At 43.0% G+C, this 17534-nt stretch overlaps 1 protein-coding gene across 13 annotated transcripts in view; it reads left to right on the top strand.

The window, feature by feature from the left end:
• FRMD4B (FERM domain containing 4B) overlaps positions 1-17534 on the top strand; it is a 373805-nt gene that overhangs the window by 232069 nt on the left and 124202 nt on the right. For all 13 annotated transcript variants that reach the window (XM_017005993.2, XM_047447767.1, XM_047447771.1 and 10 more), the window contains one exon: positions 8083-8175. In XM_017005993.2, the coding sequence (XP_016861482.1) occupies positions 8083-8175 (93 nt within the window). The remainder of the gene's footprint in view (positions 1-8082; positions 8176-17534) is intronic.

The raw sequence follows: 17534 nt of genomic DNA, 5'->3' as shown, positions 1-17534 counted from the left end.
CCCAATTTGCCTACATTTTATGCAGCCCGATACATTATCAGAGGAATCCTTCCACTTTCTGCAGATAATTTCCAAAGAGCTCCTTAAATGTTAAAATGCAAGAAGATGTGTTCCAGACATAAAATATGTTGGCCAACCATCCAGCATTCTTTTCATAATGCTGCCAATTTAAATATTTTTCAGTTCTTTAGTTTAATCAGGTGGAAAATCATCTCAAGAAGGAGTTAATTTGCTTTTAACACCTTGTGGCTTCTGATTATTCCCAGCCTGGGTGGGCTGTGAGCCTAGGACCTCCAGAATATGCCAGCAGGCTCAGGACTTGCACTGGGCAAAAACCAAGCAGCTGAATTATCAGGAGGAATAGAAAAACCTGAAAACTTGATTCTGGACTGAGGATGTTTCCCAAAGAGGGCTCAACAAGGCAGAAGAAAGTACACTAGACATCTCTCACCTCACTCTGAATCACTCAACAGCTACCATTTGAGAGGCTCTGTATGACCTGTCCTCTACTGGATGAAATGGGAAATGCCGACATGCATAGCCAGCACCAGCTCCTGCGAATCAGTGATTGAACACGCACACACATAGGCTGAATCCAAATGTGGATGAAATCATAGCAAACAGTATAAGACATAAAGCCATAAATATACAATGGCTAGGTTATATGGTATAAACTGTAACTGCTATAAGCACTATAATTTAGGCAGAGGTCACATAGAATAGGGGTTAACAACATGAATATTGGAGTAATTTATTCATTGAAAAAATATTGGCCGGGTGTGATAGTTCACACTTGTAATCCCCGCACTTTGGAGGGCCGAGATGGGCAGATCCCTTGAGTACAGGAGTTTCAGAGCCACCTAGGTAACATAGGGAGACCCCATATCTACAAAAAAAAAAAAAAAAAAAATCAGCCAGGTATGGTGACACATCTGTAGTCCCAGCTACTCGGGAGGCTGAGGTGGGAGGACAACTTGAGCCCAGGAGGTTGAGGCTGCCGTGAGCTATGATGATGGCACTACTGCCATCCAGCCTGGGCGACAGAGTGAGACCTTGTCTCAAGTATATATATATATTTACATTAAGAGTGGCTCACACCTGTGATCCTAACACTTTTGGAGACCAAGGGAGGGAGTATTGCATGAGGCCAGGAGTTCAAGACCAGCCTAGGCAACATAGTGAGACCCCATCTCTACGAAAAAAAAAAAAAAAATTAAAAATCAGCCAGGTGTGGTGATGTGCAACTCCAGTCCTAGCCACTCAGGAGGCTGAGGCTGAGGTGGGAGGATTGCATGAGCCTAGGAGTTCAAGGCTACAGTGAGTTTATGATCATGCCACTGCACACCAGCCTAGGCAATAGAGCAAGAACCCATCTCTAAAAATAGAAAATAAAATATTTTTTGAATGCCCACTCAATGCCAGGTGTTGTTCTATATCACGAGGATTCAGCTAGGAGTAACACAGACAAGGCCCCTGCTTTTATGGAGCTCATATTGCAATGCTATAGTCTAGCATAACAAGTAAACAAACAGATAAATCAAAGGAATATCAGCAATTATAAGTGCATTGAAGAACATAAAAGGCCATGACCAAGAAAACTTGGGTTCAGTTTTAGACAGGGTGGGCTAGGACAGGATCTAGGAGGTGACATGTAATGAAAAGCAAGAGCCAGTTCTGCAAAAATTTGGGGAGACATTACAAACAAAAACCAGTGCAAAAGTCCTGAGGTGGGGCTAAGCATGACTTTTGTGATTTGTTTTTTGCGAGAAAAAAAACAAGGCCGGGCACAGTGGCTCACACCTCTAATCCCAGCACTTTGGGAGGCTGAGGCAGTCAGATCACTTGAGCCTAGGAATTCCAGACCAGCCTGGGCAACATGGTGAAACCCCATCTCTACTAAAAATGCAAAAACATTAAGGGGGCATGATGGTGCACACCTGTAGTCCCAGCTCCTCGGGAGGCTTAGGTGGGAGGATTGCATGAGCCCAGAAAGTGGAGGTTGCAGTGAGCCATGATCTCACCACTGCACTCCAGCCCAAGTGACAGAGTGAGATCCTGTCCCAAACAAAAAAAAAAAAAGCCAGTGTGATGAGAGTACAGAGATTAAGAGGGAAAGTGGTACAGGAGGAGGGTTGAGAGGGAGGTAGGAGCAGGTATCAGAGAATCTTGATAGCTAGCTGTGTGACCTTAGAACAGTTACTTAACATCTCTGACACTCAAGTTTTCTCATCTGTACGCTGGACATAATAACAGTGCCTTATATAGTATGTACTACATAAGGCACCTGTAATAGGGTACTAGTATTCAATACTATTAAATCAGGTAAGGTAGGCAGAGCATATAGCACCGGCCCACAATAAAAGGGAGCTGTCATCCCAATGTACTGCAGTAAGGGAGTGTTAAGAAGGAAACTGAAGGAGGACTGGAGCAGGCGTCACACAGACGAGTAACTAAAATTGGATCTTGCAGGTAAGGTAGACTTTAAATAGATGGGAGGGGAGATGAGAGGTGACATCCTAGGCAAGAGTTATTTTGTGGGCAAATGCATGAACATGGCAACGAACAAGGTACATTTGCCCAAGGGTGAAGACGTTGGCCTGATCGTGGGGACAAGATCATAGGTGAGCCTTGTTAGTCACACAGATGGAGGAGGCACACCCAGTCCATGGAAGGATGTTATAGGGAGGAGGAATGCGGCTTTGACTTGCAGTGTCAGAGGTCCCTCAGACTGCAAGGTTTGTGGCAGACTGGAAAAGAGGGTCCTGGCCACATGGGAGGCTTCAGGAAAAGCTCCAAGCTCAGTTGAATATAAACCAGACAGTGCGTAAGTAAGGGGTTCAGACTGTAAGACCTTCTCTTCGGAAAGAAAAGAAATAGTAGGCCGGGTGTGGTGGCTCACGCCTGTAATCTCAACACTTTGGAGGCTGAGGAGGGTGGATCACCTGAGGTCAGGAGTTTGTGACCAGCCTGGGCAACACGGCAAAACCCCGTCTTACTAAAAATACAAAAATTAGCTGGGCGTGGTGGTGGGCGCCTGTAATCCCAGCTACTCAGGCACCTGAGGCATGAGGATCACTTAAACCCAGGAGGTGGAGGTTGCAGTGAACCGAGATTGTGCCACTCCAGCCTGGGTGACAAAGCGAGACACTGTCCAAAAAGGAAAAGAAAAGGAATAATGGGAATGACTTCCTTCAGTTATTTGGGCCACCCTTCTTGTTGTCTGCCCTGAGATTTCTTTCTCAAAACTACGCTGGGAGAAGAATGGTTCACACAGCCTTTTTCCCAGTTACCTCCTTTGGTTCAACCAAAGGAGGTAACTATAGTCATGGTCTTTCCAAGAACCCCGGCTCCACAATGTCCTCTGTGCACTCCCCGGCAAGTGACGGCAGAGTCTCTTTTTGAATTATGACCAGTTTGGGGAGGTGTCTCCTGGCTCTAGTCGTGTTTATTTTCAGAAGAAGTATGAGCGGGGCTGTTGAGGGGGTGGAAATTGGCCATTTCTACCTTTCTGGGGAGCGGGCCTGGAATATTGCTTATGTCTAAGGGTGTCTCCTTGGAATGTCTTGGTCACAAGCCTAGTTCTTTTTCTTTGGTAAATATTTTTGGAAAGTATTTTCTTTCAGCACTTTCCTCCTGCCTCCCTTCGCCCCCGTAAAACCACTGAGTGAGGGCCCTCCCAGGATGCCGTCTGAGTTTATTTTCCAGCCTAGATGCCACATGCGTCTTTTGTCTTTGGTAAAGCTGAAAGGAACATTTTGTCAATGAAAGTAGCTACTGTCTACAACTCATCCACAGGCCAAGAGGAGAAACGGAAAAATAGATGGCAATTACGCAATAAAAGCAGTGATGATGACCAACAACCACAGATTCAAGGTCACGTTACTGGGAGAGGGATAGCATTTCTGAGATTACGCTTGTTAGGGCCTTGCGCAGCTCTGTGTGCAAAGTTAGTCTTTCACCCCTAGAGGGCAGTCACGGCCCTCCTGAGGCACCAGTCCTTCAGGTCACCGTAGTGGTTCCATCTCTTCACCCATTTCACTTTTTGTTTTGCCTTCTCATGTTTTGAAAGGCTTTGCTAAATAAGCTTTGTTTACCAAGAAATAACAGATAGACTTTACAACACAACTGTGACTTTTGATCACTGTCCCTTCCAATGGGACTGTGACAATGGGCCTTCTGTTGATGCAATTCTAGCCAAAAATAAAACTTGCTTTGTGGTTGGTCTGCACTCCTGAGAGGGGTAGATATGATTGTCTTTTTAAGATATTGGTTAGATCTATTATATTTGCTGATGGGAAAATTTGACAAAAGCAAGTTATAAGCAATAAGTAACCTTTATATTTCAGTGGTAGAATTATGGGCATTTTTTAAAAAATTCTTCTAGACTTTTTCCTATTGATGAGATTGTGGGTGGATTTTTTAAAATCTAATTTGTAATTTATCCTTTTAAAAAACTATTTCTTATAATATATGCATGAATATCTTCTTTAATGTCATGGTTGAGTCCAGTCCCTTTTGATTACTTTCCCACTGCAACTGTAGTTTCTTCCACAGAGGTAACCAGTACTAGCAAGCTGCTGTGTGACTCTCCAGAAATATATCTAAAAATGTTCATCAATATTTAATAGTGTTTTGAATGTGCATCTGTGGTTAACATAATTGGTTTATGCTGTATATGCTATTGTACAACTTGCTTCATTCATTCATAGACACCATTCCATGCAAGTTCATACAAATATACATTATGCTTTCAATTTATTTTCAGAGACAGGGTCTCTCTCTGTTTCCCAGGCTGGAGTGCAGTGGCATGATCATAGCTCACTGTAGCCTTGAACTCCTGGGCTCCAGTGATCCTCCTGCCTCAACCTCCTGAAATGCTGAGATTACAGGTGTGAGCCACCATGTCTAGCCTATTTTGCTTTTAAAATGATGCATCTTTCCTAAGAAAACTTTTGAGATCTGATACTATCAAATATGTTATGTATTTTAAGACACACATTTAAACGTCTGTGAAATTGGGATGTGTCTTTATATCAGTGGCATCCTAAACTTGATGAAATAGAGTGTAAGACTCTCTTAACGTCAGTCTCCTATCTTATTTTGTTTTACACACAAAAGCAGTAGTTCTAAGGACCTTCCCTTGTGTTACTTAATCAGCTTATTTATCTTTATAATATTCTTGCAAGGAAAGCTGGAAACAGGTATCAGAAGCCTTGTCTTGTAACTATGGAAACAAAGACACACTCTTTCCGGCATTTAACCTGCTGAGTATCAGAGACTGAGTCAGAAGTCATTATAAAAGCTGATTCAACCCTCTAGTCTCATTTTCTCCAGTACTGAAAGTCCCGGGTACTTTTATATACAAGTCCACTGGGTAGGGTGGTGGGTGGAGGGAAGAAGAAAGGAAGCCCTGGATTCAAATCCCAGCTCTAGCACTTTCCTCACTGGCTTATTGTAAAATATAGCTTTAATGTATAAAGAGTTCCAGCTTGGTTGGCACAGAGTCATTACTCGATAGAGACTAGCTATTGTTATTATTACTACTACTCATATTATTATTTATGCTCATTTTTCCTGTCTACTTATAATGAATACAGCTTTGAATTTTCTGATTTTGTTTTTTAATTTTTTACTCAAGGACCAAAATAGGTTTGAAAATGTCTTCTGGCCCATTATATATTTTATTACATTTTGACACGCTATCCCACCACCATCAGCATGTTCTTAGATTGAATTTTATGTAAGCAAGTAAAAGAGGGTCTATGCCCTCTGGGAATTTACAGCCTAAAATGGATGGACTAGTTGGACAAGCTCGGAAAAGGCACGTAAACAGTTCTGAGCCCCAGTGTCATCAATCCTTTTGATCCCTCAGTGGTCAAAATCTAGAGAGAACTGTTTATGAACTTGGTGAGGCTCTTGAGTAAATAAAATAAACAAGTACGTGCTTAAATCTCAGTAAGCCCATAATATATATACAGAAGTGGCACTCAGAGAGTATTCAGCCCTGTACTGTTTTTTTTTTTTTTTTTTTTTTGAGATAGAATCTTGCTCTGTCGTGCAAGCTGGAGTGTAGTGGCATGACCTCGGCTCACTGCAACCTCCGCCTTCTGGCTTCAAGTGATTCTCCTGCCTCAGCCTCCCAAGTAGCTGGGATTAGAGGCACCCGCCACCATGCCCAGTGAATTTTTGTATGTTTAGTAGAGACAGGGTTTCACCATGTTGGCCAGGCTGATCTTAAACTCCTGACCTCAAGGGATCTGCCCACCTCGGCCTCCCAAAGTGCCAAAGTGCTGGGATTACAGGCATGAGCCACTGTGCCCGGCCTTTTTTTTTTTTTTTTTTGAGACAAGTTATCCCTCTGTTGTCCAGACTAGGGTGCAGTAGCACAATCATAGCTCACTGCAGCCTCAAACTCCTGGGCTCAAGCAATCCTCCCACTTTAGCCAATCCTCCCAACTCAGCCTCCTAAAGTGCTGGGATTAGAGGCATGAGCCACTGTGCCTAGCACCGACCCTGTACTTTTTTTAAAAGCTGTGGTATTGTTATGTGTCTGGTTTTTTGTTTTTGTTTTTGCTTTTGTTTTGAGACAGGGTCTCATTCTGTTGCCTAGGCTGGAATGCAGTGGCATGATCACGGCTCACTGCAGCCTTGACTTCCCTGGGCCCAAGTGATCCTCCCACTTCAGCCTCCATAGTAGCTGGGACAACAGGCATGCACCACCACACTAGGCTAATTTTTTTCTGTATTCTTTGTAGAAATCGGGTTTCACCATGTTGCCCAGGCTAGTCTCAAATTCCTGGGCTCAAGCAATCTGCCTGCCTTGGCCTCCCAAGTGCTAGGATTACAAGTGCTAGATGTGAGCCACCACACCCAGCCTGTGTGTTTTATTTCATTGAACCAGAAGTTTTCTCCTTCTTGATTATCTAAAATATTTCATATTTCATAAAAATTTAATATTAACATATGGCCTAGTTTTTTACCTCAAAAGTCAACTAGTGTTATCAGTTTTTTGTTTTTTCTCTCAGATATTTGTAATATATACATGCACATATGTATGTTTGTTCTTTGTTTAATTTTTAAAATCGCCATATACTTGCTGTTATGCATCTTGCTTTTTCATTTAATATCGTCTCTTGGAAATTGTTCAAAATAAGTTTATAAAGAGGCTCCCTGGCTTTTTTTTTTTTTTAAGATGGGGTCTGGTTATGTTGCCCAGGCTGGAGTACAGTGGCTGTTCACAGCCGTGATCATAGCACACTGCAGCCTCAAACACCTGGGCTCGAGCGATCATCCTGCGTCAGTTTCCCGAATAACTGGGACTACATGTGTCTGCCGCCACACCCGTGTTCTTCAGCCTATTTTATGGCTGCATTGTATTTCACTCTATAGTTTTTTTTGTTTGTTTGTTTTGGGGGGTTTTGTTTGTTTATTTTTTAGACAGAGTTTCACTCTAACAGGGGATGTTGCCCAGGCTGGAGTGCAATGGTGCAATCTCGGCTCACTGCAACCTCCGCCTCCCGGGTTCAAGCGATTCTCCTGCCTCAGCCTCCCAGGTAGCTGGGATTACAGGCACGTGCCACCATGCCTGGCTAATTTTTTTTTATTTTAGTAGAGACAGGGTTTTACCATGTTAGCCAGGCTGGTCTCAAACTCCTGACCTCAGGTGATCTGCCCGCCTCGGCCTCCCAAAGTGCTGGGATTACAGGCATGAGCCACTGTGCCTGCCCACTCTATAGTTTTAAATAATTTTTTTAAACAATATCCTCTTGGACATCGAAGTTATTTCCACCCCTTTTGCTATTTCAAATGTTGCTACAGTGAGTGATTTCATATACAAATTATTTCTCACATGTGCAAGTTTACCTTGATGTACTCCTGGAAATGGAAATGCTGGTTCAGAAGCAAGTGCTTTCATAGTTTTGAAAGAAATTGCTGAGTTGGTCTCATTACCAGTTGTAACAGGTTGTGCTCCTACCATCGGTGTATGAGAGCAACTATTTCGCCACAGCTTTGCCAACACTGTACGTTGTTGAACTTTTCTGACTTTCTGTTGAATCCTTTTTCTTTGCTTTGCTCTCACAGAGGTCAGCAGAACTGGCTGCAGTTAGATCACCGAGTTCTTGACCACGATTTGCCCAAGAAACCAGGCCCAACCATTTTGCACTTTGCTGTGAGGTATGTATCCACAGACCCAGTTAGCATCCCTCTTTTTTTGCTGTTATTTTTGGGTTTTTGTGTGTTTTCTTTGCTATTTTTTACATTTCTGGTGATTAGAGATAGCAAATAAAAAGAGAAGAGACCTATCAAAACATTATCATGTGAAGGAGATTCTCTACTGTCTTGGTCTGAGGACCAAGTTACCATAGATACCGTAGAGCTGTTTTCTTTGAAGATGAAGGATAGAGTTGCCTTCCTTTATTCCTCAAAGCCTCTTAGAAATCAATTTAAAGCTGAAAAACATGGGTAATATATTTTAATACATAAGACTGTTTCTCACTCATCAGATTCTTAAGATTCTCATTCTTTGAAATGTGACAAACATTTGCTATTACATTTTACGTGGCAATAATGTTTTCTACAGACTTAAAAATAATTGAATTCTGTACAATTTGATGCCTTAATTTGAATAGAGGATAAAATGCAAACAAATGCTCATGGAAAGAATTAACAGTACAGGGATCTGAGTTGCATTCACATGCAGACAGACTGCTGAAAATAATGCAGAGTCCTTGACTTGTTCTCTGAGGTTTGCTTGGGCAAGTCACTTAACTGTATCCTGAAATGGATGCATTCAGCTAAATCAGTAATTTCTCAAATCCATCTCATGATAGAACTATTTTTTTTAGTTCACATTCTAAGATAAATAAAATGTTATAAGATGTAATACCGGCCAGGCACAGTGGCTCATGACTGTAATTCCAGCACCTTGGGAGGCTGAGGCAGGTGGATCACTTGAGGTTAGGAGTTTGAGAACAGCCTGGCCAACATGGCAAAACCTCATCTCTACTAAAAATACACAAAAAAAATTAGCTGAACTTGGTGGTGTGTGCCTGTAATGCCAGCTACTCATGAGGCTGAGGCATAAGGATCGCTTGAACCCAGAGGCAGAGGTTGCAGTGAGCCAAGATCGTACCACTGCACTCCAGCCTGGACAATAGTGAGACTCCATCTCATAAACAAAACAAAACAAAAAAAACAAGAAGTAATACCTATATTTCTCTACCTAGCTTGAGGTGAAATCATTACTGATTGAGCTGAAAGCCCTCCTTATGTACTGACCCCCTCTCCCCACTTTCCTAAGTTTGATGAAAAATTTTATGATAAACTTTGCTCCCCTTCTTAGAAAAATAGGGTAAGTTGTTTGATGAATTAAATTTTTTTTCTTTGCAACCTGGGTGGAGATCTTTCCTTGGGTGTGTAAAAATCTATTTATTTAAGCATTTAGGCTATTTCTAGTTGTTATTAAAATTTGGGTTGCAGCTAGCCAGGCGCGGTGGCTCACGCCTGTAATCCCAGCACTTTGGGAGGCCGAGGTAGGCAGATCACTTGAGGTCAGGAGTATGAGACCAGCCTGGCCAACATGGGGAAACCCCATCTCTACTAAAAATACAAAAATTAGCCAGGCTTGGTGGTGGGCATCTGTAATCCCAGCTACTCCAGAGGCTGAGGCAGAATAGCTTGAACCCTGGAGGCGGAGGCTGCAGTGAGCCAAGATCACACTATTGCACTCCAGCATGGAGAACAGAGTGAGACTCCATCGCCAAAAAACAAAAACAAAAACAAAAAAAACCAATAGGTTGCACCTAACATCCTTGCACTTTCATCTTTTGTGCATGTGGTGTAGTGTTTATGTAGTGTTCCCTACTCAATGAAAGCGTTATGTCTTCAGAACATCTAACAAGTACCATCTAGGTAGTAACCAGATTTGTGCAGATTATTTGACAGCTAATATCTGGTCTGTTTTGGGTCACAGAATACCAAAGGAGTAAACCCTATCTCCCTTTCTGTACAGTCATTCATAAGGCACTCTATCTTCTCCAAGCAGGTTCCTGAAATTCCAGAGTGGCCTGCTGCTTGTTCATGAGTTTCAGCACTTACTTGGAGTGTTATCTCAAGAGTGTCCCCTAATCACTTCGCATTACTTTCCCCTAACTACTTGCATGTTTAAACCCTTATCAAGTTTTTAATTATTCACTTAGTTCTTCCTCCCAACAGTATAGTGAGAATCATAATAGTCTTTGTTATTATTCCAATTAAGTAGTTGTTTTTACTCCAATTTAATTAAGGAAATGATAAAGGAAAAGCACACGCCAAAGAATTTTGTGAACTGACCGAGGTCACTGTGGAATGTAGCTGGTTCTATGGAGGTCTTGCAAATGGGGTTGTCTTGTGCTCCAGTGAAGTGAGTTGCTCCTCAGAGGGTCTCTAGCCTCCTATTTGGAGAAAACAGAACTATTGGTAAGATTTCTATCCCAGTAGACACCATCAACAAATCTCCAGGTTGCCTGTTTGACTGAAGAATAGAGAGCCAAAGATAGCATTTGGTTCTGTCTTGATGTTCGCTCATTTTAGGAGCCTCTGGAAGTGCAGGGGACCTCTTTTGAGATTGGGTACCTCACCTCTTGTGTCAGCACAGTACTGCTGCATGCACTGGAACATGGAGCACAGAAGCCCCTCATTCATGGACACCGAGATGTGTAGTCACCAAATAGTTAATGCACAATGAAAAAGAATTCCCTTCAGTGATAGCACATTAAAGCATGTGTACCGCTGTTATTTTCGGTGCAAACAATTAGAAATATCCTAATGCCAACAATGAAGATAGGTTCAGTAGGTTATGGTGGCACTTTTATAGTAAACAATGAATCACTTTAACAAAAGAGATTAGATGAAAAAGTACATTGCAATTCAGAGCTTCTCCAGAAGGAGAGGCAGGGCATATCTGAATCATCTTGGGACATTTTTCAAACTACACAATTATTCCCCTCCAACTCCACGTTCCTGGCCCAGATTCTGATATAATGCCATGGAGGGAGGGGTGCATTGTTGAGCCCTCTCTCCACCCCTCCTCTCATAAATCATTACTTTAATAAGTCACTGTTACCAGGGATGTTGTCATGTATCTCATCGCTCATGCATCTTAGGAGATAAGATACATTATATCTGAAAAAGATAGGGAATGAGTGTCCTTCTGTAAAACAGAGATTACTGTTTATGCCATGGAAAGTTCAGGTGATCACATTGAGGTTTTTTGAAGTTGGTATGTTTTATAAACCTATATAGATCTGTAAATGCTGAGAAAATTCCTGGAAGGAGCTACACCAAGCTATGAAGAAACATTTCTTCCTTCCTTCATTCATTATGTATTGGAGTTTTGCTACGTTGTGTTCTGCCCCATTCTAGGTCTGAGGACCCGATAGTGAAGAAGGCAAAAATCTCTACCATCATAGTCAGCATACACATAAACAAATGCATTCATTATATAATAACAGTTTGTCCATTCATCTGATAAATAGTTGCTGATTTCCTGCTATGTGTCTGGCCCTATACTAGATGCTGGGAATATAGCAGTGGTAGAAGAAAATGACAAAATCCTGCAGCCATAAAGCACACAGCCTAATGGAAAGAGACTGACACTAAGTAAAGTAAACCTGCAAAGTATCTTATGTGAGGGGTTATGGAGAAAACTCCATTAGGGAGGAGGAAAAGGGAATATTAGCAAAGCCGGGGCTGCATTTCTAAAAACAGTGGTCAGGGAAGGCCTCTCAAAGAAGGTGGCATTGAGCAAAGGCATGCAGGAGATGAGACAAGGACCCAGGACCCAGGCCCATTTCTGAGGAAGTTTCTTCCAGGCCAGGGGAACAGCAGGTGCACAGAAAGGTTGGCAAGAGCATGCCTGGTGTGTACCAGCCCCTGGAAGGAAGTCATGTATCTGGAGAGAACCTATAAAAGGGAGGTGAGTAGGAGTTGGCATGGGGTTGGCCTGTAGAGCATTGGGGCCTGTGGGTTTTGAGCTTGAGAGCATAACCAATTTCCATTTTAAACAGACTCACTCTGGCTGCTGGGTTGAGGACAGATCGGAACAGGGCAGGAGGGCACAGCAAGACCAGTTAGTAAGCTGTTGCAATGGCCCAGGCCAGAGATGAGTGGGGTGAACCAGACTGAGTCTCACTCACTACACATTCACTGGAGATGGTGCAAGTTGGTTATGAGAATTGAGGAGAGAGCAGGGGATACAAAATGATTTTGCAAAACATTATGCAAATGTAAGAAAATATTTTATTTATTGTAGCATTTATGAAAAAGAAAAATTCCACGAGAACTTGCTCTCAAGAAGTTTTCTCTCTACTGAAATGTAGCATAAACTCTGCAGCAGGCCCTAGGCTATTTGAAAAGTATTGTCTCATTTACTCCTGAGCTAAACCCTGAGGTCCTACAGATTTGAAGGGTTAATAAATATCTGGTTTATATCCCCCAGGATAGAGGGAGCAGCTCAGAAACATATGCTGCTTCTGCACAGAGAAAAGAAAATATTTAAAGCAAAGGCATGTAGTGTTCCCTTTATGACTTCAAGATTAAACCTTTGTCTTCTTTTTTCCAGTTATAAAATCTCAAAGAGGTGTGCTAAATATGTGTGTGACCTCTGTGTGTATAGACGCACCATAATTTATTTAGGTACCATAATTTATTTAACCAGTTCTCTATTTCCATGGGAGTCCAAACTCCCCCAGGTTTCTGGGGGACTTCCCCAGGCTGGGGGTTGTTATCTGGCTGCCATAAATTATATTCCACAAACATATGAGCCTCTTGGTAATGCAGCCCAGATGTGAACATTTGAAAGGCTTGACAGTGAGGAGCAAGCAAGCATTTAAATAGGAGTGCAGGGCCTTGGCGTGACCTCACTGGAAATGCTCATATTCCCTCAGAGGAGGGCAACCTGAGGTGCCTCAGGCTGGTACCACCCTGTTCCAGTCAAAGCCAGAATCTTGGCATCTTTCATCCCCTTTATTATTTTTTGTTGTTGTTGTTTTTCATTTCATTTGGTCTTCCCTCTTCTCCCTTCTTTTCCTCCTCCTCTTTCCAAGTCACTTTTGCTGGGTCCTAGGACTGCATGTGTCCACTCAGTGGTACCCTAAAGCATTGTCTGCCACACTCAGGGCTGAGAAGAACTCACTTTCCTACTGTAGTAGGAAACCCGGAGGCAGACTGCTACCTCTGGGTGAAAATTGCTGCAAACATGGAGCCCTTGAAGTCAAGACTGCTGACTGCCTTCTCATCGCTCCTGGCCTGGTCTTTGGAACATTAGATCTTTAGAAAGAGCTTAACTCGAGGAAGCATCATGACTACAACCCGTGAGTCCTCGTCATTCCACCAGAATTTTTTTAAAGAGAGCCAAATACACGTGACACATAAAGACAGACTGTAGTAAAGGGTGAGACTTATTGATATAGAAAGATGCTCCCAATATATTCTAGGTGAAAGAAGTAGACCACAAAAAGTCCATGCAATATGATAACACTCTTTGTAAAATATTTTACAAAAACGTCTGTACAGATGGAAACTAAGTTTAAAATGTTAACAACAGTTAATCTCTAGGTAGAATGATTGTAGGGATGATTTTCATTTTCTTCTTTTTTGGTCATCTGTATTTTTTCTTACAATGAACATATTACTTGAGCAAATTTTTTTAATGCAGTTGTGAAAAGCGATAAGAGGAAGAAAGGATAAAATGTTTGTGACCAGATAACCATGCATTTGTTTAAAGCCATCAGATGGTAGGTGATTTACAATAATGAGAGGACTGGAAATTCATCTTTTCATGGAGGAATGTGATTTAAAGGCCCTGAGAAACAACTGATTCTCCTACTTAGGCTGAGCTGAGGTTACTTGAGGGAGGTGTGCAAGTTAGCCAGAGGTCTTTGCCCATCTGTCACACTCGCATCTGAATGCACAATACCCCAGACCATGGGTAATACAAAGGCCAGTTGCCTCAGTATCACCCATGACCCCTAACTGGCCCAGCCTATTCTGAACTTCCAGGCAGGCGTTTAATGGCCTTCCTCTTTGAGGATCCAACATCCTAATTCACACAAGAGCTCAAGAAAGACACGGAATCCTCAGAAGCACATGCTCGATCATGATATTAGTTTCTTACAGGATTCTATTTCTCGGTGTATTCCCTGGGCAAGTATCAGAAATTATTTTTAGAAATCTGCTCACTCCCCTTGCAAACCTTTCAGTCCTGTCTTTTGGTGGGTGTGCCTGTGTTTCCACAGTTTTAAAAAACAGATGGGCCATGAATGCTTAAAGGATGTGTGCGTTTGTCTGTCTGTGTGTGTGTGTCTCAGGACAATGAAGAGGCAACATCAAAAGTAAAGAAATCGTATTGTGGGGCTGGGTGCCACTCACGAGCAGTGACTCATGCTTGTAATCTCAGCACTTTGGGAGGCCAAGATGGGTGGATCACAAGGTCAGGAGTTCGAGAACAGCCTGGCCAACATGACAAAACCCCATCTCTACTAAAAGTACAAAAATTAGCCAGGTGTGGTGGTGCACACCTGTAGTCCCAGCTACGCGGGAGGCTGAGGCAGGAGAATCACTTGAATCTGGGAGGCAGAGGTTGTAGTGAGCCAAGATCACGCCATTGCACTGCAGCCTGGGCAACAGAGCAAGACCCTGTCTCCAAAAGAAAAAAAGAAAGAAAGAAACCATATTGTGAAGGGGGAAAGAAGCTAGAGAACACGGAAATTAGAAGCTCAGTTTTCAGTGCAAGGTTTCACTGCAGCAGCACTATTGACACTGAGGACCAGGCCATTCTTTGTAGTAGGGAGCTAAGCTGTGCTGTAGGATCTTTAGCAGCATCCCTGGTCTCCACTTACTGACGTCAATGATGCTCCCAGGCCAGCCACCGTGGCTCACACCTGTAATCCCAGCACTTGGGGAGGCCAAGGCAGGTGGAGCACTTGAGTCCAGTTCAAGTCCAGCCTGGGCATCATGGCGAAACTCTGTCTCTACAAAAAATACAATAATTAGCCTTGCATGGTAGTGCGTGCCTGCAGTCACAGCTACTCAGGAGGCTGAGGCAGGAGGATTGCTTCAGCCCAGGACATTGAGGCTGCAGTGAGCGGTGATCAGGCCACTGCACTCTAGCCCGGGCAGCAGAGCAAGACCCTGTCTCAAAATAAACAATAACACTCCCCAAGTGCTGACAGTCAAATAATGTCTTCAGCATTGGTAAACACCCCCACCCAAACATTGAGAACAGAGCTTTAGCATCATTCTTAGGTTCATATTCCAGCTCTTCCACTTACTCACTATGTAGCTTCTGGCACCCTCTTGGGCCTGTTTCATCACCTATGAAATGAAGCTGGTGGTAGCCCCCACCTACTTTGGGGGTTGTTGGAGGATTACAAGTGCTAACAGCTAATGTAGACCCTATATAAATGTTAACTATTTTGTATGTCCTAAATAACAGGCTGCCTCAACCACATGTTCAGTGGGCGAAACATTCTATCAAGTTTCTGTCACAGCCTTTGAATATGAAAGATTTGGGATTGTCTGGCTTGGGTCTGACCCATTCCCCTTTGCACTGGGTGAAAGATCTTATCATTTATCTTCATTATTCACCGTGCCCAGATGTTACTTCCCCACTTTTCTCCGCTGCCTCCCCTCCCCACTCCCTCTCAAAGCATCTGTCCCTGCTTTCCTGTGGAGGACTAGAGCAGGCTGTTTTAAAGCAGAGGAGAGGCAAGCACTTGGAATTCACATGCCCCTGACACTTCAGGTTGCCTAGGGGAGAAGACTCTCTCCCCTTCCTGGCAGGTCACAGCAAGGCCCTGACTCTTTTGGGCCTCCAGCTCTTCTAGATAACTCAGAAAGAGTCATGCTGTGGGAAAGGAGCAAGAGGGCAGGTTTCTACAGGCTTACCAGGAGGCCCTCTCTGGTTCTAGCCATGTCTGGAAATTCAGAAATGAGGAAGAGCATTCCTGGCAGAGAAGCACATTGTAGAAGCAAACAGTGCTTCCCCTGGGAATTCTCCAAGACTGTTCCCCTCCCACAGATGAAAGGGAACATATTGGACTCCCATAAGCACTGCATAATATCTTGCAGAAAGTGATGTGTTTGGAGAAAGTGAAATACACTTAAATTACACTTCAGCCTTCAGCATTATAAAGTGAGATATGACTACCTTGCAGGGTCATTACAAGCAATAAACAGAGATCTCCCCGCTCAGAATGTGGATGAGGATCTGATAGAAATCTACCTAGGCGTGTGGCTGCAGTTAAATGCCTAAAATTACTCATGGTGACTAAAAGAAACCCAGAATGAGGTGTTTTGATTTAGCCCTCACTGGACGCCAGTCACAAACTCAGCATTGTTCAGAATGCAAAATAATTGAGCAGTTCTTGCCCAATTCACCTTCTTTGAAGATACCACTGGGACCTCGCAAAGGCCCTGGGAAACAAAGAAACCATGCTCAGTTGAGGGAGAAAAGTTGAAACTGATTAGAAAAGCATTGGTTTCACACTATTTTCTCATTTTATGTTAAAACAGACATTTTTGTAGCATTTGTTTCTTTGAGAGAAAGAACTTAGGAAAGATACTTGGATTTTTTTTTTTTTTTTTTTTTTTTTTTTGAGGCAGAATCTAGCTCTGTCACCCAGGCTAGAGTGCAGTGGCAGGATCTCAACTCACTGCAACCTCCTCCTCCCAGGTTCAAGCGATTCTCCTGCCTCAGCCTCCTGAGTAGCTAGGACTAAAGGCATGTGCCACCAAACCCAGCTAATTTTTGTATTTTTAGTAGAAATGAGTTTTTACCATGATGGCCAGGCTGGTCTCGAACTCCTGGCCTCAAGTGATCTGCCTGCCTTGGCCTCCCAAAATGTTGGGATTACTGGCATGAGCCGCGCCTGGCCAGATACTTGGAATTTTTATTCTGGTTGTTACAGTTAAAGCTTTAAAGATGTTCCCAACTAAGTCAGTGCCTTTTATTACAGTCACATCGGTAGAGAGATAATAATATTCTAATAGTCACCGCCACTCATTGGCTGCTAAACTACATGCCACCTGCTATGTTAAGCACATTTCAAACCCTCTCATTTCTCCAGTGTGTGAGGCAAGAGAGGTAAGAGGCACTGAGAGCGGAGCAGCTACCCCAAGACCTCAAGACTGATCAGCACTGGAGCTAGGATTCAAACTAATGTCTCTCCCACTCCCTAGTGTTGACTTGTGACCACTAGAAATAAATACCACAAGACGAAAATATTGGCCACATAAATTTAAGCGACTCTTCAAAGGACAGCCACTTCCAAACAACTGGGTGTTGTGCTCTTTGACATCCATGTGTTGCCATCTGGCTGGCAGGGCTGTGTCCCTTCCAGCCGTCTTTGTCATGTCACAGTGGTGTAATGTTCTGTCATCACTAATGAGTGGTTAAGCCAACCAAGAAAGGAAAAAGAAATGCTAATGGGAGGAGCCCAAATAACAGTGACAAAACCTTCCTGAGCAAATTCTCTTCTCAAGAAATTACACTT

The sequence above is a fragment of the Homo sapiens genome, chromosome 3 (assembly GCF_000001405.40).
Source record: "Homo sapiens chromosome 3, GRCh38.p14 Primary Assembly".
NCBI classification, from domain to species: domain Eukaryota; kingdom Metazoa; phylum Chordata; class Mammalia; order Primates; family Hominidae; genus Homo; species Homo sapiens.
The sequence above is the reverse complement of the archived record's forward strand: the minus strand, read 5'-3'. Positions and strand labels throughout refer to the sequence as shown.